At 35.0% G+C, this 24,363-nt stretch overlaps 1 protein-coding gene across 24 annotated transcripts in view; it reads left to right on the forward strand.

Annotated features, from left to right (window-relative positions):
• Positions 1-24,363, forward strand: part of PTPN13 (protein tyrosine phosphatase non-receptor type 13) — a 220,847-nt gene that overhangs the window by 9,597 nt on the left and 186,887 nt on the right. The gene's annotated exons all lie outside the window — the stretch shown is intronic.

The following is a 24,363-nucleotide window of genomic DNA, read 5'->3' on the forward strand; positions in this document are numbered from 1 at the left end:
TTTGACATTTAATTATTTGTAATAATATGATTAATTTATATAATTAAAAAATCAATATTTGACCCACTATTGAAATACTAAATTGAGTTATTGTTAACCTTTTAACAAGACAAAATTAATGTCTACTTATATTCATTCTTAAGTGTTTAGCTTTTGTGAAAACTGAATTCAGGTAGTGTTATGACTTGTTTATTCATGTTCAGACCTAAATTAGGAAGCACAGTATAATAGAAAGAGCAAACACATTGAATTTGGGTAGTCCTCGGTTTGAGTTTTAGCTCTTTTAGTAATTAGAATGACTTTGGATAAATTTAATCTATTTCTGATCTGTAAAATGCAAATAATAATATATATCTCAAAAGGTTTTGTAAGCTTTATTCCTGAATTATACACATATAAAATGATTGGGCATAGCCTACTGATTCTGTTTACAGGAATTGTTTACCTTTACTTCCCTCTTCAATTGTGTTACTGAGAGAAATAGTAACCTAATAAATCTGATTAATAATGCTGAGATAAAAGCATCTCTTTATCACTCAGATTTTAGCCTCTTTAGTTTACATTGGTTTGATTAGGCCACTGCTATTGCTTTGGTTATCAGATTGTTTTATATGTAAGATCTTTTTAGGTACAGTAGCTACATATAAGCTACTTTAAGACTAAAATGGTTGACATTTTAAAGGAAACAAAATAGGTAAATCCGCCATGTCCCCTTGAATATGTGAAAAATACAGAAATTGATAGAAAAAAATACCACAGCATTATTCGACCATTTAAAAAATAGCAACAATTAGAAATGTTTTATAAATACATTTATTTTTTTAATATCCTTTGTTTCTTGTGTAAACTAATTATACTACTGTAACATATTTGACCACTCTATGTTCAGAATTATTTTCCGTATTTTGAGAAATATTGAAAAATAAAAGTGGTTGCTACCAAAAAACTTAAAATCTTGCTTGAAACACACAGAGAAAAGACAGGAAGCCATTATATATTGTAAAATAATGATTAACTGCAATGAAAGCTTTAAGGAAGAAAGTGTGGTCTGATTTAATCAGGATTCACTTGGGGAGTAGAGTGTGAGCTGAGTCTTGAAGACATTAAATGTCTGTAGATGGGAATGGTATGTCATGGAGTAAAACAAAAGATAAGAGTAAGTGAATTCATGAGGGAAGTGTTTACAAAGAAATGCTGAAGATGACCTGTCAAAGTGAGAAAAGGATGAGGACAGAGAAGGGAGTGCCTAAGAAACTAGGAAAATGTTATGTTAAAGAAAGTGCCTTAGGAGAGTGGAGGGTAAAGGACCAATAGTTCCAGATGCCACAGGGAGCCAAAGAGAGAAGGCTAAAGAAAAGTAGAACATTGTGATCAGTTGAATATTGCAGGGATAGAAAGGAAATTGAAATGGGGGATGATATTTGGTTTCAAAACAGATGAAAGTTGGATGATCTGATCTATGAGGATTCATAGGGTCAGAACATTTTTCCTTTTTAAGATCAAAGGTGGTGAAAGAACAGATTGATTCTGTGAGATTAAGAGATTTAAAATGGCAGAGTGAGAAAGAATCATCTCCTTTTATGAGGATTGTCTGGATGGTAAAGAATGAGTCCTAGGTAGAGGTATTCATTTTAGTCAGGGGGAAACAACTTTTTCCTGTAAGATTGAAGGAAAGGCTACAAAGATAGATGTGGGCCTATTGATGAATAGAAATAAAAATAAGATTTTATAGATAATTTACACTTAATGATAGTATCTTCAGAAAGTGCTGTCATAGGAGGCAAGATTATCTCTTGGCATATAAAATCTAAAAATAAGATTTTATAGATAATTTACACTTAGTGATAGTATCTTCAGAAAGTGCTGTCATAGGAGGCAAGATTATCTCAGGCATTATTTGGGTAGTGGTGAAAATAAAGAGATATAGGTAAAGTTGGGAATCATTACTGTTGGGAAAGTAATGAGAGGTTGTTAAAGGATTTATAGAGGCTTTGTGAGTTTGAAGTTGAATAAGTTGAACAGTGATGGCCTCAGTCCACATTTGCAGAAAACGAAGAGTAAAGTGAAAGAAATTATTACAGTCTATAATGGTCAAGTAAAATATGGGGCTTGTAGTAATGAGGAAATCCCACTGAGGCTGGGAGGATTGGGTGAAATGGAAAGTGATTTTTTTAGTAGTTTCTAAATTTGCTCAATAAGCCAACTATTGATTGAATTAAAGATATTTATCATTTTCCTCTATCTGCCACTTTTTTAGAACAAGCGCCAACAAAGGATCTTGATCCTAAAACAAGTATATGATGTTTGTTTAATTGAATATGCTGTGTGGATTAGTTACTGCTTGGTTCACTTAATCTGGGATTGGGGCTGTATTTAAAATGAGCCACCTACACTATACACTTAGAAAAAAACTGTTTAAATCAAAATCTTACTCATTTTTTAATATTCTGCTATAGTAGTTGGTTTTATATTTGCCCCAGTGTGACTTTACTGTTAGTCTTTATGCTTATTTATTGTGATAATCACTAGGATTCATAATTTAAAATTAATTGTAAGTGCTTTCCACAAATTGTTTTGACTACTGTCTAAAGAAATAGAAATGAATGAATGAAATAATGAAAATAATTCTATTCTCCTCTTACAAATTAGCATTATACTTGGCAGGTATCTATTCCTAAAAAGTTTCTAAATGAATCGCATCTTTCCATCTGAAAATCAGATAAATGTTTTATTTGGCGTACCGTCAAGTGCAATGCAATTCAATAAATAGGTTTAGTATTTTACCCACTCAAGACTAGATTTTTTTCTTAATTCTTGAAATAACATAATGAAACTCCTTGACTCTACAAATACCTAGTTGATTGCATAAAGTCACCTAGTTGCTTGTTAAATAACAGCAAAATTCAGTATAGACCTCTAAAAGTACTATTTTAGCTAGCCATATCATCTGAAGGATTGTCATTGCCTTGATTAATAACTGTCCATAATGGTGGCCAGTACATTTTCTGCTGCTTTTTGTATTGCCACATAGTTCTAAGAAAAATAACTCAAGAGGAAATAATGTTATTCCAGCTGATAAATTAATCCTGGAGCACTTAGCATTCTTTTAAATTCATTAAACCTCTTAATCATATAAAATAAGACTTAAAAATTTGATTCTGTCTCAAGATAAAAATTATAATTGTATGTGCTATAAACAGCAAAATTCATGTTTATGATTCCTTTAAAACTGTTAATCTTTTTTTTAAAAAAAGTCTTTAAATACCCTTACTACCCTAATGAGGGATATCATAAAGATTTTTATATATCCATCTACATTTTACAACCTTTTTATACTACATGAAAATATTTTAAAAGATATCTATGATGTCTATAAATAGGATTCTATGCCATTATAATCTGTAGATTACACCATTAATATATACGTGTATGCTTATATTGTCTTTCACATCATCTAAATGAACACTGAAAATGACTCCAATGATAAGGTACTATTTGAATATTATTGTGTGCTAGGCACTCTTTTAAGAAATTGAGACGTAGTATATTATTTATCTTTACAGTCCTGTTGAGGTACACGCAATCCTGTGAAGTAAATGCTGTTATTCTTATTTTACAGATGAGAAAACTGAGGCTTAGAGAGGCTTAATGAGTGGTAGTGGAGTACACACTTGAATCCAAGCCTGTCCTACTCCAGTCAGCTATCATAACTGTAACTTCTCATATCAGTAGTGTCTTTTGACATGAGCAGTATTAAGGTGGGGCAAAAAATCGCCTCAATTTCCCTAGAAAAGATGAAAGAGACCTTGGCAGTCTAATTTGGCATCTAAATTCATGAGTTTTTTTATGAGCTTTTAAAACAGTTCTTGCAATGATATATTTTCCTTTTAGCTTTTCTTTTTTCAAGGTCTTCCTCTACTAACTTGTCACTTTTGGGCTTCACAGCGCCGAGTTCCTATAAAACTGTTGAGTAAAGTAAAGATAATGAAGTGCCCTTTTGAAAATCTTTTAACAATGTTTAGATGCTCATCACAGCATTATTTGTAGTAATATAAAATTGGAAACAAATAGCTTAGAAAAGAGGAATGATTTATTCTAAATCCTTACAATAGAATTTTGTGGTCATCAAAAATTAGATTGATAAGGAGCTTTTTGTAACATGGAAATATGTTAAATAGATAAAAGGTAAAACCTGGCAAATAAAGCATGATCATAACTATTGTTTTTGTGTTGCCTTATTTTTTAATAAAAACTTTCATTTAAAAAGGCCAGAAAAAAATAGTGAGGGACATTATAAAGATTTGTATAGGGAGAACCAACCTATTTTAGGAGTAGAGAGATTCGACTGTGAAGAATTCACTATGTATAGAATCTGGTTTGTTAAGTTGAGGAACAAATTATGATATTTTGCCCGAAGATTTTTTTCTTCTAAATATGGAGGAAGCTTACTGATTCTAATGCTTTATGTTATTCTAGCCAATTCTTGGAAGATTTACTTGAGGCTCTGTTGCTGCTTTACAAAGATGACTAGAAATGATAGTACATGCTTATAAAATTAGGCTGGGTTGCTGCTTTACAAAGATGATTAGGTAATTATAATGATAGTACATGCTTATAAAATATACTGTTTAATAAAAATTTAATTCCTCAAAATAACTTTATGGTAAATACTACTGTTATCTTCCTTTTTATAGATAATGGAAACTGAGGTGCACTTAGATTAATTAAAATCTGCCCAAATATAGATGGTAAGTGGGAGAGCCAGCATTTTGCATCTAGGCAATCTGGTTCCGAAGCCTGTGTGCCTAAACACTATGCACTAGGTATTTTAATAGTGAAAATCATTTATAACTTTTAGTTCAGAGTTGGAAATAATTATCTTATTAAGGTATGGCCATTGAGAATAGTTTATGACCAAGTCTTCATTACATACTTAGTACGTTTAAAAATCATCCTTTGGTTTGGTTGATGGCAGTTATTTACAGAGCCCCAAACTGTTGTTGACTGCTAACAAAGTTTCTTTTCTTCTCCTTTGAATTGACTCTTTCAGTAGGGCTGGATGCTTTGTATGTGGTGATGTAAAAAGTGTCTGAGGAGAACTACAAAAGTTTCTAAATTTTAGTTTATCACATGGTTTTAGAATTCATTCACAATTGGTTGCCATTTGCTCTTAGTTGGAGAAGTGGACTTTGTAGCTTAGAGTTCTTTGAGACATAAAATTGAAATCACTATTAATCCTTTCCCTCAACTGGCTGTCTTCACATCTATTTTTTTCTTACGAGTCATGTACTGTTATCCCTATGAAAATAGTTTAGATGATCATGTAATTCTTTTATTAAGTAAACAGTTTTGTTATCCTCTGAAGAGGATGAGTTATGCAGACTTTAGTTATAGCAGATAAAGTTTATTATTAAGTATCTTATTTTATAGAATAGGTAAAACTTGTATTTATATAAGGTTGAAAATGTACAAAGATTGAAAAGTAAGTCATCTTTGTTTTGCCTCCAAGTCCCCTTCCTGGGGTGCTTTTCTGTATCCTTCATTTTCAGTAATGTCACCGAAGCCAGGAGGAGACATAATGTTGCACTAAACTGGTGTTTTAGTCTTCCTCAGTGTGAAACTTTGTATGTACCCTCGTAGTATGCTAAAAGCTCTTGGCTTTTGAAAAGAATTTATACAAATAAAGTATTCATCTTTTATATATTAAATAGCATAACTTATTTTTTCTGCTTTTCTTTTTTTTCCTCAGATTACCTCATTAGTCAAACATGTTTCACACTTTTAACCTGTTAATCCCTTTCTTTTGTTAGCACTTAGATATCAGTTAGTCGTAAAAGCAAACGTGGATGTCTTAGCAGTACTAATTTTATGGTTTTGTTTAAGTTGAAAATTTTCTTTTAATTGAGGTTGACAAATATTGGGTACAACCGAAGTTGTACTTCGGGGGACTTAGATCTATTTCAGTTATCTTATAGAGCATTGGTGTGCAAAGAAGCTAGATACATAGAAATTTTTAAAAACATGTTTGTTTTTCTAGTTTTCTTTCCTTGGCTTAAGTATGAATACTAAGACTAAATATGGAGTTAGTCTTATTATGTACCTAAAGTTTAGATTCAACATGGTGAAACCCCATCTCTACTAAAAATACAAAAATTGGCCGGGTGTGGTGGCACGCTCCTGTAGTCCCAGCTACTTGGGAGGCTGAGGCAGGAGAATCGCTTGAACCCAGGAGGCAGAGGTTGCGGTGAGCCAAGATCACACCACTGCACTCCAGCCAGACGACAGCAAAACTCCATCTCAAAAATAAAATAAAATAAAATAAAGATTTTGGAATACTTCCTGCAGCCCCAGTAATCTGTAGTTTAAAAATGTGCCCCAAAGACAGCTTCCTACTATTGGTAGAAAATAAGAACTCTTTCAAAGTATCTTTCTAGGAATCTATCTCCCCTTTAGAGAAATTAGAAATTTTGGTCATGCTTTTATGCAGTTATTCTCAAAGTCAAAAAATGTTAGTTTGTTAGAATATTATTATACATAGCCTAAATCAAGTGTCACTAGCCTAAATGCCTGCAGGGGCAAAAAAGGGGCCAGGGCAGTTAAGTGAGGAGGAAGACAATAATGAGTGATGAAAACTGTAGTGAACTAAAGAGCTCAGACTAGATAAAGTGGGAAGCTACTATCCACCTTGAGTGCTGCCACATCTCCTATTTTTCCCTCCAATTTTTATATGAAATCTCCCTAATTTGTGAAGTCTTCTAATTTGTAAACGTTGGAATGCAAATTTACACTTTTGCAAATGTGGTGTAGGCTGTTGTCCTATAGGCCAAACAAAACATGTCAGCAGGCCAAATAAAGCCCATGGGCCACCAGTATGGAGTTTATGCCCTAGATTATCTTAACAGCCTTACACTTGCATGAACTTGCCTATTCTGTTTTGATACTTATTAAGAGATAATGGTATTAATAATGATTCCAGCTGTCTGTTTTGATTAATATTTTACCTTAGCATATTAATGAAGTAAATAATTGGATTTTTTGTGTAGGAAGAGAGAGCAAAAGACTAGTTCCTAAAATGTATAGAAGATGATGTCTTATGTGTAAATATATGACTTGATTTCCATTATTTTTCTTAGAAAAATTTTATTCTGATCCCCTTTCATTGTCAAGTTCTGCTATTCTTCCTTTTTCCTACTTTCACATTCAGTATCTCCCTGCTTCTCCCACGATTATTATTTTCATTTGCAAGAGTTATAAAATAAAAATCCTCTTGTACAAACTCTGTAGAAAGTCAATCACTTTGTGATTTATTTACCTGCACAAACTTCCAGACATTCTTCCCCATAGCATTACAATTCCTTACTTAGTCTTAATATTACTTCTTTTAAAATTGCTTTTTAAGCAGAATGGACTGCCTTTAAGGCAGTTAGTGAAAAGGCCCACAGAAAACAATCTAGAGGGGTGATCTCATAACCATGTAAGATTTGACCCTACTCTATCAGGGATGATTGAACTGGGATGCCATTTACAGTGGTTCAGTACAGAGAAATAAGCATAAGTTAGTGAAACTTGTAGCTAAGATGGAATAACAGGGATAAGATTTACCCACCTGCCTGCAAAAAACTAAAATAGGGACAAAATATGTGAAACAACAATTTTCAGGACACTGTACATCGGGTAATAAAGGACAGTGATCCGTGAGAGATGGAAACAAGATAAGCCTTATCACTACCTCTACTTACTACCTTGAGAGAGTTTCCAGGCTGCGGCATATGGTGGGAGAAACCAGATGGAGAATGGTAGACTCCCTGAGTTCAGGAGATGGAGCTGAAAGTCTGAGGAGACCAAGGCAGTTAGAGTTAACAGGACAGAGTACTAGAGAAGTGAGAACTGCAGAGAAAAAACCCTGGAGATCTACAGATGGTCCCCTTTGAGTATTCAGCTGAGTATTCAACATTACATGCATGTCAGGAAAGGACCAGAGGCCTGACAAGGAACCACACAAAAGGATTCAAAGAAACCGTACTTGTGCTCACACAGGGCTAGGAATAGTGCCTGTTCCCACAAACTGGGCTGCAAATGCTCAAGATGTATGAAGCACTGGGTAGAGCACACAGAAGAATCTTACGCAGTAGTGAGGAATAATTAGCCCTAGACTGAGTACTGCTCTGGACAAGTCCAACAAATCTTTAAAATAAGACCTGAAAAGATCAAACTTTGAAGTTTTCAAATAATTTAACTTCAAGCCTGAGCAAAACTCAAAAATATTTACAAATATTTTACACCCAACTAGATAAAATTTATGATATATAGCATCCGGTAATTTTCAGGCACACAAAGAAGCAGGAAAATATGATCTATAATGAGAAGATAATAATCATAACTGTCTCAAAACTGACACAGAGGTTAGAATTAGCAGATAAATACATTAAAAGTTTTATGTAACTATTTCATGTGTTCAAAAGTTAAGTAGGAATATATTAAACCTCTAAAGACTCAAAAATGAACAGAATATCTGAGCTGTGGGAACTTTAAGTAGCTCAACATATGAAATTTGAGTCCCTGAAGTAGAGGAGAGAGAAAGCATGATAGAAAAAATATTGGAAGAAATAATGGCTGAGATTTTTCTGGATTTGATGAAAACTATAAACCCACACCTTCGGAATCTCCGTGAACACAAAGCATAGGAAACATGAAGAAAATTACACCAAGGCACATTATATTCAAACTGTTCAACACCTCTGATAAAGAGAAAATCTTAGAAGTAGTCATAGAAAAAAAAGCCAAAGAAAAAGGCAAGCGAGCATGTGGGACAGAGAGAGGAAATTGGGTTACGTACAGAGGAACAAAGATGACTATTACAGTATATTACTTGTCAAAAATAGTGCAAACAAGAAGAAGGCATAGTGACATCTTTAAAGTGCTGAAACTGTCAGCCTAAAATTTCTACCCAAAGAAAATATCTTTCAAAAACAAAGGCGAAATAAAGTGGTTTTTTTTCCCCAGATATACAGTAGCTGAAAGAATTGATAACCAGCAGATCTGCATTACCAGAAATGTTAAAGACAGTTGTTCAGGCAGTAGGGTAATGATACCAAATGGATTTACACAACAAAATGAAGAACACTGGAAATGCTAACTACATCAATAAATGTATCTGATACTTTTCTAATTATTGAACTTGATAATAGGCTGAGAAAAGTAAATTGGCCCACTTTATAAGACTCTTTAAAGTGCAGTAATGAAATAATAATGGCTAACATTTTGACTACTTACTGTGGGCAAGGAATATTACCTTCAGGGCTGATCATGTGGGTAACCTCTGCCGAGCACTTACCAAAATTCCAGATTCCCATAAGGAAAGCAGGTGTTCAGCATAAACCACATTGTTTGCACAAATAGTTTAGACACACAGTGTGCCACTTTTAAGAGTTTGGGGAGTAGTGGCCTGGTGCGGTGGCTCACGCCTGTAATCCTAACACTTTGGGAGGCCGAGGCGGGCAGATCACGAAGTCAGGAGATCGACATCATCCTGGCTAACACAGTGAAACCCGTGTCTACTAAAAATACGAAAAGTTAGCCGGGCGTGGTGACGGGCGCCTGTAATCCCAGCTACTAGAGAGGCTGAGGCAGGGGAATGGCATGAACCCGGGAGGCGGCGCTTGCAGTGAGCCAAGATTGTGCCACTGCACTCCAGCCTGGGCGACAAGGTGAGACTCCGTCTCAAAAAAAAAAAAAAAAAAGAGTTTGGGGAGTAGTGAGAACCCTCCTGAAATCAAAGTTCTCAGATGCCAGCTAAAGGTCAACCTTGCGAGCAAGCCTGCTATGTTAATTCTTTTTTGCATCGCTAGACAAAGAATAAAGACATTTCCCCTCATTTATCTTTTTGTTAGGAAGGAAAATCTTTCCTGGTTTCTCTCTCACTACATTCTGTCTCAGTACCATTAGCTAGGATGGGTTGCTTATATCCTCACTGCAGTGAGACTGGGAAGTTAAATACCTAGAATTTCTGATCTCTGTATTGGAAGACAGATTGTGCAACAGGGAGTAAGGGCAGTGGAAATGGAAGAAGAATATCTGTTAAGAGTTGTGTATTTTTCTAACTCATAATTGTCAATCCTATTGTTTTTAAGGGTAAGGGGCTCAGAGATACATAGCTAGGAAAAATAAGCACCATGGCATTTACTTTTTATATAAAATACAATCGAATTTATTAGCAACTTTTTCAGTATATAGGGTAGTTTTGTTGTAATATACAAGACGGATTTCTAGACAAAGTGTTTAAGACAAAATCTGTGTCAGTAAACTGAACAGAAAAACAACCCAAAATTACCCCCATTTATAAACAGAACAAAATAACCCCACTCTAAATTACTCTGTTTGATTTATTAGTTTAAATGAATTGTTTTTACTAAAACTGTAATATTGCAATTTTATTTGCACACAAAAGTTTTTGTCAACACTATTGTATGGTTGATTTTACAAATTGATAAGATACTATTCTTCAAAAAGGATAATCTTTTTTTTACTATAAAAAATTTAATCATTTCTCAGTAAAGCTATTATTTCTTGGTTTGACTTCTAAAAATTTCCTTTACTTCTGACAGAATACTTTTGACATGGTCAATTAAACAAATAGCCAATTCATGCCAAAAACCAGTTGGAATTATCAGGTAAATGTAAATGGGTATTTATAGTGAAACAAAAAACATCAAGATATATTTCCTGATAATAAGGTTGTGTTGTCTTGCCATGGACTAAAACAAAACAGTCCTGTAATGGAAAATGTAAAGCTTGCTTACTCGAAAATCTCAGTACTAAAGGAATGCTACCAATTCCAGTAAAGTATTGTTGATTTTGGAAATAACCTCTAACATTAGACTGCTAAGATGTAGATTTAGGTTTAAGAAAGCTGAAATGCCCTTTGTAAACCTCAGACCTAAAAATTATACTTGGTTTTTGAATTAAGAAAAAAACCTGGTTGTATTATAATTGTACTGATTACCTAAGATGTAATTACTAATTGAAGTAGGGGGTTGTCATCTAGATTCTGATTATTAACTAACAAGTTTGAATCTGCTACTGAACTACATGTCTAGTCCTAGCATATATTATAGTACACAATTTGTTTTTAGCAGATTTTTCAAGTTCCTAGGAATTAATGGACCTATTAGTTGTAGGTTTTAAGAGTAAATCTCTCACGGTCTATTGATTGGAACCAAGGATTTATCGTGTTTTGTTAGTCCAAGTGAAATGTTAGAAGATGGCATATGCTATTGCATTGATTTTGTTTTCTGTTAGCCGAATACTTTTAAGAATGACTTTCTAATAATGCAGATACAGAAATTACATAGTGACTATGCTAATAAAACCTGACAAGTCATTTTTAAGTTGAACCATAAAGATGGTCAAATATTATTAGTTTCATATGGTTCAATCTGATACTTACATGACTGTATTTCTGCAAGCACAGGTACATAGTGTTCTTAATTATTCAGTAGAATATTTGTGTGTTAATTCTGTTTTGATCCTCATTTTCATTCCCTACTGTCTGTCAACCCTGAAAGTTATTACTTGTAACAAGCAGGAAGCAACTTGTTAGAAAATAACATATATTAATTTGCGTTCATTATAGCATTTTACAGACAATATAGTGTTAGACTTGGAAAACATGTTAGAGGTCCTCTGAGGCCACCCCAGTCACCTAATATAGGAAAATCCCTATGACATCCTCTCCAGATGGTTATTTCCCTCTGCTTAACCACTTAAGGACATTATCTCAAGAGTTTTTCTATATTATTAGAAGGTACATATATGATACTGAAAACTACCCAATTTTAACTCATTGGTCTCAGTTCTGCATTCTGTTAGGAATACCATAAAAAGACTACTTCTTCCAGATGGCAAATGTTTTAACATTAAAAGATAGACATCATATCTCCTACTCTCTTCCCCAATGGAAACAGTTCCAGCTATTTCTAAGTCATAGGCTCAAAACTTAGGATTTAAAGAACTTTAAGGAGTATTCCAGCAGTAATCTGATTTACAGGGTCTAAGCTACTTTCAATTTGAATTCCCTACATTGTCTGATGCAGTGCCTTGTAAATAATGAGCACTGAATAAATATTTCTTATGTGACTGTAAGACTGAGAGAGGGTAAATGAGATTTGAGTTTATTGTCATTCAGTAAATATTTATTGAGAATCTGTTGTGTACTAGCAGTTGTCCTAGACATTTAGGGATACACCAGTTAACAAAAGAGACAAAATCTCTGTCCTCATTAGTTTTACATTTTGTTGTCAAATACATTCAATAAAGATTAATTCTATAATATAAAGTGTTATAAATGTCATGAAGTGTTATGTAATTGGATAATGGTATGAGAGAGTGAGGGAGTGGGTGATGCTGGTATTTTAGATTGAGGTGGTCAAGGAAGGCCTCATAGAGATGTTACCTCATAGAGATGAGGTAAGAATTGATCAATGAACTGAATGAAGTGAGGCAGCTCAGACGTGGATATTTCAGACAGGAGTTGATATAGTTTAGATGTTTGTCCCTGCCCAAATCTCATCCTGACATGTAATCCCCAATGTTAGAGGTGGGGCCTGGTTGGGAGGTATTTAGATCGTGGGGCCATGGGGGGTGGGTGGGCAGATTTCTCATGAATGGCTTGGGTCATCCCCTTGGTGATAAGTGAGCTCTTGCTCTGGGTTCATACGAGGTCAGGTTGTTTAAAAGTATGTGACACCTCCCCACCCACTCTTTCTCTCCCTTGCTCCTGCTTTCACCATGTGATGTGCCTACTCCCCCTTCTCCTTCTAAGCTTCCTGAGATCTCCCCAGAAGCCTTCCAATGCCATGCTTTCTATAAAGCCTACAGAACCATGAGTCAATTAAACCTCTTTTCTTTATGAATTACCTAGCCTCAGATATTTCTTTACAGCAATGCAAGAACAGCCTAATACAGGAGTGTTCTAGACAAATGCAAGGGCTTAATTAAGAGTCACCAAGACTGGAGTTGAGTGTGTCAGGACTGAAGGGGAGAGCGTGAATAGTTGAGATGAGATAGTTTGAGGAAAAAATCTTGTAGGGAGCTGTGAGCTTGAGTAGGAATTTAAAATTTTTATTCTAAGTGTGATGGGAAGCCACGAAGCATTGGAATTACATGATTAGACCTATATTGAAGAGTCACTAGTGAGAATAGACTACTGAGGGACAAGAGAGGAAGCAAAGCAACCTGTTATAACCCTATTTTCATAATTTTCTAGGGCTTTACTATCTAATGTGGTAGCCACAAGTTCCCTGTGGCCATTTAAATTTACATTAATTAAAATTAAATAAAAATTAAAAATTCAATTCGTCTGTTGCACTGACCAGATTTTTCAAGTTATATGTCTACAGACGGTCCTCGACTTAGGAGGGTTCAACTTAATGATTTTTTTACTTTACGATGGTGCAAAAACAGTAGGCATTGAATTGAAACAGTACTTGGAATTTTGAATTTTTATTTTTATTTTTTTACTTTTTTAAATTATATTTTAAGTTTTAGGGTACATGTGCACAATGTGCAGGTTTGTTACACATGTACACATGTACCATGTTGGTATGCTGCACCCATTAACTCATCATTTAGCATTAGGTATATCTCCTAATGCTATCCCTCCCCCTTCCCCTTCCAGCATCTGTTGTTTCCTGACTTTTTAATGATCGCCATTCTAACTGGTGTGAGATGGTATCTCATTGTGGTTTTGATTTGCATTTCTCTGATGGCCAGTGATGATGAGCATTTTTTCATGTGTCTTTTGGCTGCATACATGTCTTCTTTTGAGAAGTGTCTGTTGATATCCTTCACCCACTTTTTGATGGGGTTTTTTTTCTTGTAAATTTGTTTGAATTCTTTGTAGATTCTGGATATTAGCCCTTTGTCAGATGAGTAGATTGCAAAAATTTTCTCCCATTCTGTAGGTTGCCTGTTCACTCTGATGGTAGTTTCTTTTGCTGTGCAGAAGCTCTTTAGTTTAATTAGATCCCATTTGTCAATTTTGGCTTTTGTTGCCATTGCTTTTGGTGTTTTAGACATGAAGTCCTTGCCCATGCCTATGTCCTGAATGGTAATACCAAGGGTTTTCTTCTAGGGTTTTTATGGTTTTAGGTCTAACGTTTAAATCTTTAATCCATCTTGAATTAATTTTTGTATAAGGTGTAAGGAAGGGATCCAGTTTCAGCTTTCTACATATGGCTAGCCAGTTTTCCCAGCACCATTTATTAAATAGGGAATCGTTTCCCCATTTCTTGTTTTTGTCAGGTTTGTCAAAGATCAGATAGTTGTAGATATGTGGCATTATTTCTGAGGGCTCTGTTCTGTTCCATTGTTCTGTATCTCTCTTTTGGTACCAGTACCATGCTGTTTTGGTTACTGTAGTCTTGTAGTATAGTTTGAAGTCAGGTAGCGTGATGCCTCCAGCTTTGTTCTTTTGGCTTAGGATTGACTTGGCGATGTGGGCTCTTTTTTGGTTCCATATGAACTTTAAAGTAGTTTTTTCCTATTCTGTGAAGAAAGTCATTGGTAGCTTGATGGGGATGGCATTGAATCTATAAATTACCTTGGGCATTATGGCCATTTTCACAATATTGATTCTTCCTACCCATGAGCATAGACTGTTCTTCCATTTGTTTGTATCCTCTTTTATTTCATTGGGCAGTGGTTTGTAGTTCTCCTTGAAGAGGTCCTTCACATCCCTTGTAAGTTGGATTCCTAAGTATTTTATTCTCTTTGAAGCAATTTTGAATGGGAGTTCACTTATGATTTGGCTCTCTGTTTGTCTGTTATTGATGTATAAGAATACTTGTGATTTTTGTACATTGATTTTGTATCCTGAGACTTTGCTGAAGTTGCTTATCAGCTTAAGGAGATTTTGGGCTGAGACAATGGGGTTTTCTAGGTATACAATCATGTCGTCTGCAAACAGGGACAATTTGACTTCCTCTTTTCCTAATTGAATACCCTTTATTTCCTTCTCCTGCCTGATTGCCCCTGGCCAGAACTTCCAACAGTACGTTGAATAGGAGTGGTGAGAGAGTGCATCCCTGTCTTGTGCCAGTTTTCAAAGGGAATGCTTCCAGTTTTTGCCCATTCAGTATGATACTGACTGTGGGTTTGATACGCAGTTGGACACTCTCTCACAATGCCAATCAGTGGCAGAGAGCTACAGCTCCCAGTCAGCCACGCGATCACAAGGGTAAACAACTGACACGGTAGCCTACAGTGTACTGTATTCAACCTTATGTATGGTGTTCAGAAGGTTAGGTATATTAATCAGGAGTAGAAACAAATTTGATTCTAGAGAAAATAAATGGAAGAGTAAGCCCAAATAACTTCTCAAATCACAGATGAAACATTATACATCTATGTATATTCCAGTAATTACAACAATTTCAACTTAATATTTGGACATTGTCAAAAATTCTACTCAAATTGCTCCATTCTAAAAATGATTTTGATATTACCAATTTCCATTTTGAAATATTTTATACATTTCAGTTTTTAAAAAATCTAATTTTTATATCTAAGCAGTGACATGAGATTTTATCCTGAATCTTTCCAAATCTTCAGGCCTTTCATTTCTTAGGAGAAGTGGAAAAGGCAGTGGAGGGAGGGAAGAGTCCAGATTTCAACTCCTGTCACCATACCACATTTCTATATTTCTAAATGTTTTCTCTAACATCTCTGATTATTACATTTGGCTTAAGGTAGAGCTTTTCTAAGAGTAGTAATATGGTAAGAGAGGTAATTTCTGCAGCTAAATTTCAGAAAATCAAATCCTGCAATAAGCAAGTTCCTTTCTTTTTCTTTTTTCTTTTTTTTTTTCCCCCAATACTTGTCTCCATGATGAGGTCATGGAGAGAGTCCCATTCTGGTGCTAGTTTGTTTGTTTGACTTGCTAATCTCCCTTTTTAACAAATAGAGACATGTCCCAAGCTTGGAGTGTTGCTGCACAGGCAGGCCACACTCTTGTGGCTCATATTCAATAACATTATTGTGTTCTCATGTATGGATTGATAGTGACTTTTGTACTTACCTTCTATTTATGGAACATTTTACTGGTTTTCCATTTAAGAACATAATATTGACCTAAGATTTGCTTTTTAAATAAATTCAAATGTAAAAATGAGACATTTAAAAAATATTAAATAAGGACATTTGGGTATGGTAAGATTATAAGGGGAGGAAATAAATCTTAAATAAATTTTATTATTGTTAATTATTATTATTTTTGAGACAAGTTCTTGCTCTGTTGCCCGGGCTGGAGTGCAGTGGCACAGGCCCGGTTCACTGCAGCCTTGACTTCCCCAGCTCAAGCAATCCTCCCACCACAGCCTCCCAGGTAGCTGGGACCACAGGCACACACCACCATAGCCAGCTAATTTTTGTATTTTTTTAGAGATGGGGTTTCACCATGTTGTCCAGGCTGGACTCCTGAGCTCAAGCAGTTTGTCCACTCTGGTCTCCCCAAAGTGCTGGGATTATAGGTATGAGCACTGCACCCGCAGAAATTTTATTCTTAAGAAAAAATAGGTGACTTAGCAAGATGATTCATTAATGCAGTACACATATGGGTTATTTGTAAAGGAGAATAGAGCAAAAACATTCTAGGACCTCTTTCTCCAAGTTTCATGACCTAGAACTGTACTAGAACATCATGTCTAAATAGCCAACATTACTGATATAATGAAATTTAAATGCTACACTGCAATTAAATTTAATTTTCAAATTCTATCACAAAATGTACTTATTTGTGTATAGTTTACATTTTCTAACTTAACAAAGGAAATAATATTTCTACCAAGTGCTCTTCCCTAAATCAGTGCATTACTATCTCTTTCTAGCAGGTCTAATTTCGGGCTAGCTAGCTTTACCTCTGGGAATTATAGAAGTGATTTTAGAAATAAATGTCAAATAACGATTATTCCTGCTGTTTCCCTCTTATTAGCCAAGTGTTTAATAGACATAGCTAAAGATTTTTATCTTTTTGTTTAGGTATCTGTTGTCGCAAGAAGACTCACTCTGCTATTTTTATCTAGAAGCACTCCGTTTCTCCCTAAAACACAGATTTATGACTTAATTCTCTTTCATGTAGGACACCTGTTACCTCTATTTGGATCTTGTGCTTCCAGTTTCTCACTCGTTTAATGAATTCTGTACACTTAGAAGGCACACAAAGCCTGGGCTGGGGTACACGTGGGGATCACACTGCAGGCTGTGAATGTAGACAAAAATCCTTTGTTGTGGGTGTGATCACTTTAACAATTAGTGCATCAAAATCTCTTGTATTCACAATAAGCAATTGCATATTTAAAAATTTTTTATCTCCATTTAAAGATGTAGCCCTCATGTATTTAGACTTTACCGTATAAATTTTAATTAAGTTCAGTTCCACTCTCAAGTCCCTAGAATTATGGCAAAATGCTTTCAAAGATAGCCGACTTTCTTATAGAGTTAACCAGCCTTTTTAGTGAAATATGTGTCCACAATCTCTCATCTGCAATTCAAAATCCAAAAATGTCTGAAAAAGCAAGTGTTTTTTTTTAACTCATTTGAATGCAAAACTGTACTTGAGCTTTTTTGGTGGCAAAACCTGACTGAACTGACATGAAGCTATTTACAGTTTTTATTTATCCCACTTAGTGTAAATATTCATCAGTTTACTGCAGAAATGTTGATGTGTTAGATTACTGGGTGTTGCCCCAGACCTTTGCTGGGGATGTTTCAGAATATAGAGTAAAGCACTGCATTACTTTTTTAAACATAACATAGCTGGTCCAGAGTTTGTCATAAGTAGTTGGGAACCCGTGTGTAGATAAGAATATGCATAAGAGATAAAGTGAGGCTAGATATTTTTCTTTTTTTTCTTATTCTTTTCCTTTTTTGTCAGTCATGTTCTTCTTTGTCTCTTCCTTTTGCTCCCTCTCTCCTCATCCTCCCTCCTAATAAAAGTCAGTAGCAATAACCCAATAAGCAGTATCAAATGTGTCGAGTTCTGTCCTTAATACATTTTAAATGACCTTAATAAGATATATAGTTCACTGTTTATAATAGAATCCATAACAGACAGAACCTTAAATAAACATTATTCTTTGCTAAAAACTTCTCTGCTTTGTTTCTCCAAAAGGTCATTTGAGTTATCATTACAACCCCCTGTGTTTTCTTCCTTCTGAATTGCACACTGAGTAATTACCACACAAATTAGTAAAATTCTGTTACATTTATCTTCAGACTGATAGAATATGGAGAATAAGACCATTGCCCTTATTTTGTGCTCTGTAAATCAGTGTGAACATAAATTATCAATTTTACTTTTTATCATTTACTGTAGCTTAGATTTTTCTGCTAATTTAATAAAGGCTAATTCTTTAAAAACATACTGTAGTTTTGAGAGAGATAATTACAGAATACGAGCTTATGGAGAGTCTTTGGTAATAACTAAGTACATAAAGCCCCTTTTAATGTATGTTAACGAAGGGTAGTAAAACTTTACCTATTTGCTGTGAATTTACTTCATTTGTTTCTAATGATGGGACTCTAGGTCTTAAAATGAAAGGAAAAAAGTTGAACTTTAAAAATATAACCAATAACGAAGGGATTACTGTTTTAGATTAAAAGAGATATACAGTGTATAGACCTTGTTTGAATCCTCATTTCAACAAATGCTATTTAAAAGCCAAACCTATTCTGAGATAATCAGGGCTCTCTAGAAGAGGTGGTTTTGGGGCAAAGCCACTTAGTCTTCTTTTCTTGTTAGTCTTCATCTCTCTGTCCTTGGATGTCTCTTCTATCTGTGTGTACTACTTTAGAGTCTCATGAAATTTCAGGGCTTTAAAATACAATCTATATGTTGACTATTCTAAATGTTTATGCCCACCGCATATATTCAGTTACCTACTTAGCATCTTCACTTGAATGTCTAATCAGCATTGCAAACATAACATACAAAATCAAACTCTGAAACTTTCCCTCCAAACCAACTCCTTTCACAGGCTTCCTGTCTTAGTTAATGGTAACTCCCTCCTGCCAATTTCTTAGGGCAAAGAGCATCAATATCAACAAAAACTTTTGGCCCTTCCTTCAAGATATTTCCAGAATCTGATCACTTCCCACCTGTCCCACAGCTACCAGTTTGGGAGCTCAATGTCTCAATGTTTTTATGTTGAGAACCAGGGAAGCTGATGGTGTAACTCATTCAGAGGCTGAAAACCTCCCGGGGGTCTGCTGGTGTAAGTCATGGAGTCTAAAGACAGGCAGGTATGCAGTTCTGATGTCCAAGGCAGTGGAAGAAAAGTTTGTTCCAGTTCTCAGAGAGAGACCAGTTCACCTTCTGTGTGTGTCCTATCCAGGCCCCTGACTAATTGGATGGTGCCTGCCAATATTGAGGGAAGATTTTCTCTACCCACTCCACTCAGACTCACATACTAATCTCTGGAAACCCCCTCACAGACACACCCAAAATAATGCTTTACCAGGTTTCTAGATATTCCTTAATCCAATTAAGCTGACACCTAAAATTAAATCCACAAGTCTACTCCTTGTCAACTTGGCATTCATATGCATCTCCTCAAACCATAACTCATTTCCAAATAAAGACAATAACCAGGCAATAGTTTCACCTAACACGATGCAACTATCCTGTGATTGTGATTTTCAGAATTTTAGACTTTAGGGATTTTGATCTTTTGAGATTTCAACATTTGGGATTATGACTTTCAGGATTCTGTCTTTTGGAATTATGATCCAAATTCTTTACTTTCTGCCCAGAATGTTCTTTCCTATGTATATGCACATCTCACTCTCTCACCTCCTTTAGAACTTTGCTCAAATGACAAACTCTCAGTGAGGGCTTCCTTGATTGTTATATTTTAAATGTCTACTTTCTGACTTTCCTGCTATTCCCTAGGCCTCCTTCTTAGTTATTTTCCTCCATCACATTTATTACCATACGATATTCTAGTTATTGTACTTATTTATTGTCTGTCTTCTCCATAGGACCAGTTATTTTTGTCTAGTTTATTCACTCTTATCTCCTCAGTACTTAAAACAGTGCCTGGCTCATAGTAAATAATAAATATTTGTTAATTGATTGAATAAAAACCTAGCACCTATCAATGCATAGCACATAATAGTTGTAACAAATATTTAAATAAATGAAGGAATTAATAATCTAGTTGGTGGATCGTTCCATTCTTTTACAATTTATTTGACTCTCTTGTAGCTTTATTTTCTTTTTTATACTGCATAGACCCCATAATCCTTCCCCACAATAACTCCTGCCACAACTCTCAACTCTCTTTCTGCAGTATCCTCCAAGCAAATCTTTGACTTCTCTCTACTTATTTGTTGGTTGCTAAATGCAACCAAGAAAAAGCTGAGGATCTGATCTCTGGCTCAAGGGACAGCCAAAAAGAGAATACCCAGGGACCAGTGCTCTCATTATAAGATGATATATGATTCTATAGTACCTGAGCTCTGCAGCTCTAATAGTCCCTTTGCTTTGTTTAGTTTTCTAGTTTTGTAGACTTAAAAGGGCACCACTCAAAATAGCCCTTTGTTGAATAGTTAGTTCAGTTGCTAAAATCAAGGATGAGCATGGTAAGGAAGTATTCAACTAGCTGACCTCTGAGTAATTAGGAAAGTCTGGCATTGACTGCTCATCTTAGAATTGATTAACATCATAGGAGCTATTGGAATTGAGGGTTAAAGCTTTATCCAAAAGCTGGGTGCAGTGGCATGCCTATAGTTGCAGCTACTTGGGAGGCTGAGGCGGGATTGCTTAAGGCCAAGAGTTTGAGAATGCAGTGTGCCATGATCATGCCTGTGAATAGCCACTGTACTCCAATCTGGTTAACATAGTCAGAACCTGACTCTAAAAAGCAACAAAAAAGCTTTATCCAAAAATGCAATGGTTCTTTAACATTATTGTGTATGGGACCTACCTGGGGAGCTACAGATTCCTGAATACACAGTGAAAGCCATTCTTTGAGGGTATATATAAGCACATGGGCAGGTATATGAAGCATTTGAAATAGGTCATGAGGACTACCTCACTAAGCCAATGAATGAGGCCATTAGACAAGAAGTCCTCCACCTAACATTTCCATCTCTAAACATGAAACATGCTCCTTTCCCTTTGACTTCAGCAGACCAGATGAAGTATCATTGGAAAGGTAATCACTCTCTAATCTTTGTGACTTTACCTATTGCTTACCCACCTCCTCCTATATCTTGGAACTTTCATGATCTGACTGGTATTTACCACTTAGCTTCATCTCTTGTCTTCTCTTCCCCTTCTCTGGATAGTCTACAGAATTTGAATACCTCCTACTGTTTCTTGTCTCTCTCTTAATACAGGTTATTTCCCCTACCTGGAAGGCCTTAACTATAACCCCCTTATATCTTCTTTATCTACCTTCTTCTTACTTACACCCTCCTCCCTCATCCCAACCTTGGAATCATTTCTAAAATCTTCCTTTCTGGTCTAATTAAATACCCTTTTTGGAATCCCATGGCACTTTGAACCATTATGATATTTAACACAATATATATTATAATCATTGATTTATCCTCTCACCTGCTAGATATTTTTAGTTTGTTTTTGTTTGCTTATTTTTTTGTGTGTATGTGTGTGTGTTTAATGTCTGGTACCACACCACACCTATTCAACTTTTAGTCCCAGACTCATGGTCCTGAAGTCTAAAGGCTTGTTGGTAGAATTCAGTCCTTGTGATTGTAGGACCTTTTCTTCCTGGTCGTTGGCTGGGATACACTTTTGGCTCCTAGAGGCCACCCTTAGGTCCTTGCGATATGCCCCACTACGTAGGCAGTTTACAACGTGAAAGGAATCTTGAGGGCAATCGCAGAATGCTGCTTAGCACACTATTTTTTACAATGTAAAGGACAAATATGAATTTTTACTTGATCTTTTGTGTTTTATCCGTATTTGTTTCCTTTGGTTGCTGTCCAGTAGACATTTTAAGTCTATGTAATTTAGGAAGATCAGCAGTATCCTAAAGCAATGATCTTAACATAAGTCTGTAGGTAGCGAGGAAAGGTGTTGTAGAAAGACAATACTCAACATCAAAATTCTACCATTGCATTGTTTTCTGTTGGTACCTTCCAGTTGGTGAAGAGAAAGAACAAATGTGAAATTAGAGATTTCCCCCCTGGTTTTACTTTTCTCCTAAGTTTAAATGATGCAGAGAGGGACTGAAGAATTCCAGAGTTTTTCTTCTTATTCTTTGAAGCTGTCCTTTGAAAGCAGGGACTAGGCATACATGATTTCTATTTAGATAAGTAGTTGACATGAACCAGAGGCCCAGAAAGGCAATTTAGACTTGTGTTTATTTTAGTTTATCTTCTTTCACAGGGAAAGCATAATGGAAAAGTTGACAAATACTAAACATTGCTCCAACTGCAACAAAAACATTTAGATACATGCTGTTTCTACCTTGTGGCAACATCCAATTAAAACTTCACTGAGCTTTATTCCTTTTTCTCTTAAAATTCCTATTCTTTCTTAGTTTTTTGTAACTATATTAGGCAATAATATTTTTTCTCTACTACCTGATCTATAACTACTTCTAATGGAAAGAAATATTAATGTATTTTGTATTAGGGAGATGAACCCTTAATCTTCTACACCTCTAATAGTGCTTTTATTAGTGAGAGTGCAAAGATGCTGGAACTCTTTGCATTGTTGGTGGGGATGTAAAATGGTGCAGCTACTATGAAAAACAGTAATCCTGAATAAATTAAAAATACAATTACCATATGATTTAGCAATTCCACTTTTGGGTATACAGTTGAACCTTAAGTTTTAGGGGAATAAAAAGTTATATGTGGATTTTCAACTGCACAGAGGGTCAGTTCCCCCAACCCCTACGTTACTCAAGGGTCAGCTGTATATCCAAAATAATTCAAAGCAGGATCTCAAAGAGATATCTGCATACCCATGTTCATCACAGCATTATGTGTAATAGCCAAGAACTGGAAACAACCCCAAATGTTCTAAACAGGTGAATGGATACAGAAAATGTGGTATATACATATATGGTAAAATATTTTGCAGCCTTAAAAAAGAAGGAAATCCTGTCACATGCTATAACATGGATGAACCTTGAGGACATTATGTGAAGCAAAATAAGCTAGTCATTTAGGACAAGTACTAAATGATTCCACTCATATGAAATATCTAAAATAGTCAAAATCATAGAAACAGAAAGTACAAAGTTGGTTACCAAGGGCATTTCAGTTTTACAAGGTAAAGTTCCAGAGGTCTGTTCAATAACGATGTGAATATATTTAACACTACTGAACTATACACTTAAAAATGGGTTAAAATAGTAAATTTAACATTGTATATTTTTACCACAATAAAAAAAATGAGAAAAGTTAACTTTTAGAAAACAAATTTACCATTTATTATTATTTCTTAAAAAGCAAATGTTACCTGAAGTTGTGGTTAGTTTCTTCTAACACTAAAAACATCCAGGCAGCTTCATGGAACAAAGAAAAGGATTGCTGTTTCACCTTTGATTGGGTTTAGTTTTTGGTTTTTTTTTTTCTTTTTAACAGCTTTATTGAGGCATGTTTGACATATAATAAACTGTACATATTTAAAGTGTATAATTTGTTAAGTTTTGACATATGTATGTACCTATGAGATCATCACCACAATCAGAATAATGGACATATTTATGACCTCCAAATGTTTCCACATTTCCTCATGCCCCTTTTTAATCTTTCCCACATGCCTCTCCATAGGGCAATACCATCTTCAGGCAACCACTGATCTGCTTTCTGTAACTGTAAATTAGTTTGTATTTTCTATAATTTTGTATAAATGTAATCATACAACATGTACACTTGTTTCTGTCTTGCTTTCTTCATTTAGCATAATTATTTCAGATTTATCCATGTTGTCACATGTATCAGTAATAATTTTTATTGCTGATTAGTATTCCATTGTGAGGATATACTAAGATTTTTTTTTGTCCATTCACCTGTTGATAGATATTTGCTTGTTTCCAGTTTTTAGCTGTTACAATTAAAACTGCTATGAACATTTGTGTACAGGTCTTTGTATGGACATATGCTTTAATTTCTATTGGGTAAGCAGCTTGGCATGGAATGGCTAGGTCATATGTTAAGTGTATATTTAACTTTTTAAGAAACTATATTAACAGTTTTCCAAAGTGTGCCATTTTACATTCCCACTAGCAACGTATGAAAATTCCAGTTTCTCTACATCTTTGTCAATACTTAGTATGCTTTGTCAACACATTGTGGTTAATCTTTTTAATTTTAGATATCCTCATA

This window comes from Homo sapiens, chromosome 4 (genome assembly GCF_000001405.40).
Source record: "Homo sapiens chromosome 4, GRCh38.p14 Primary Assembly".
Classification (NCBI taxonomy): domain Eukaryota; kingdom Metazoa; phylum Chordata; class Mammalia; order Primates; family Hominidae; genus Homo; species Homo sapiens.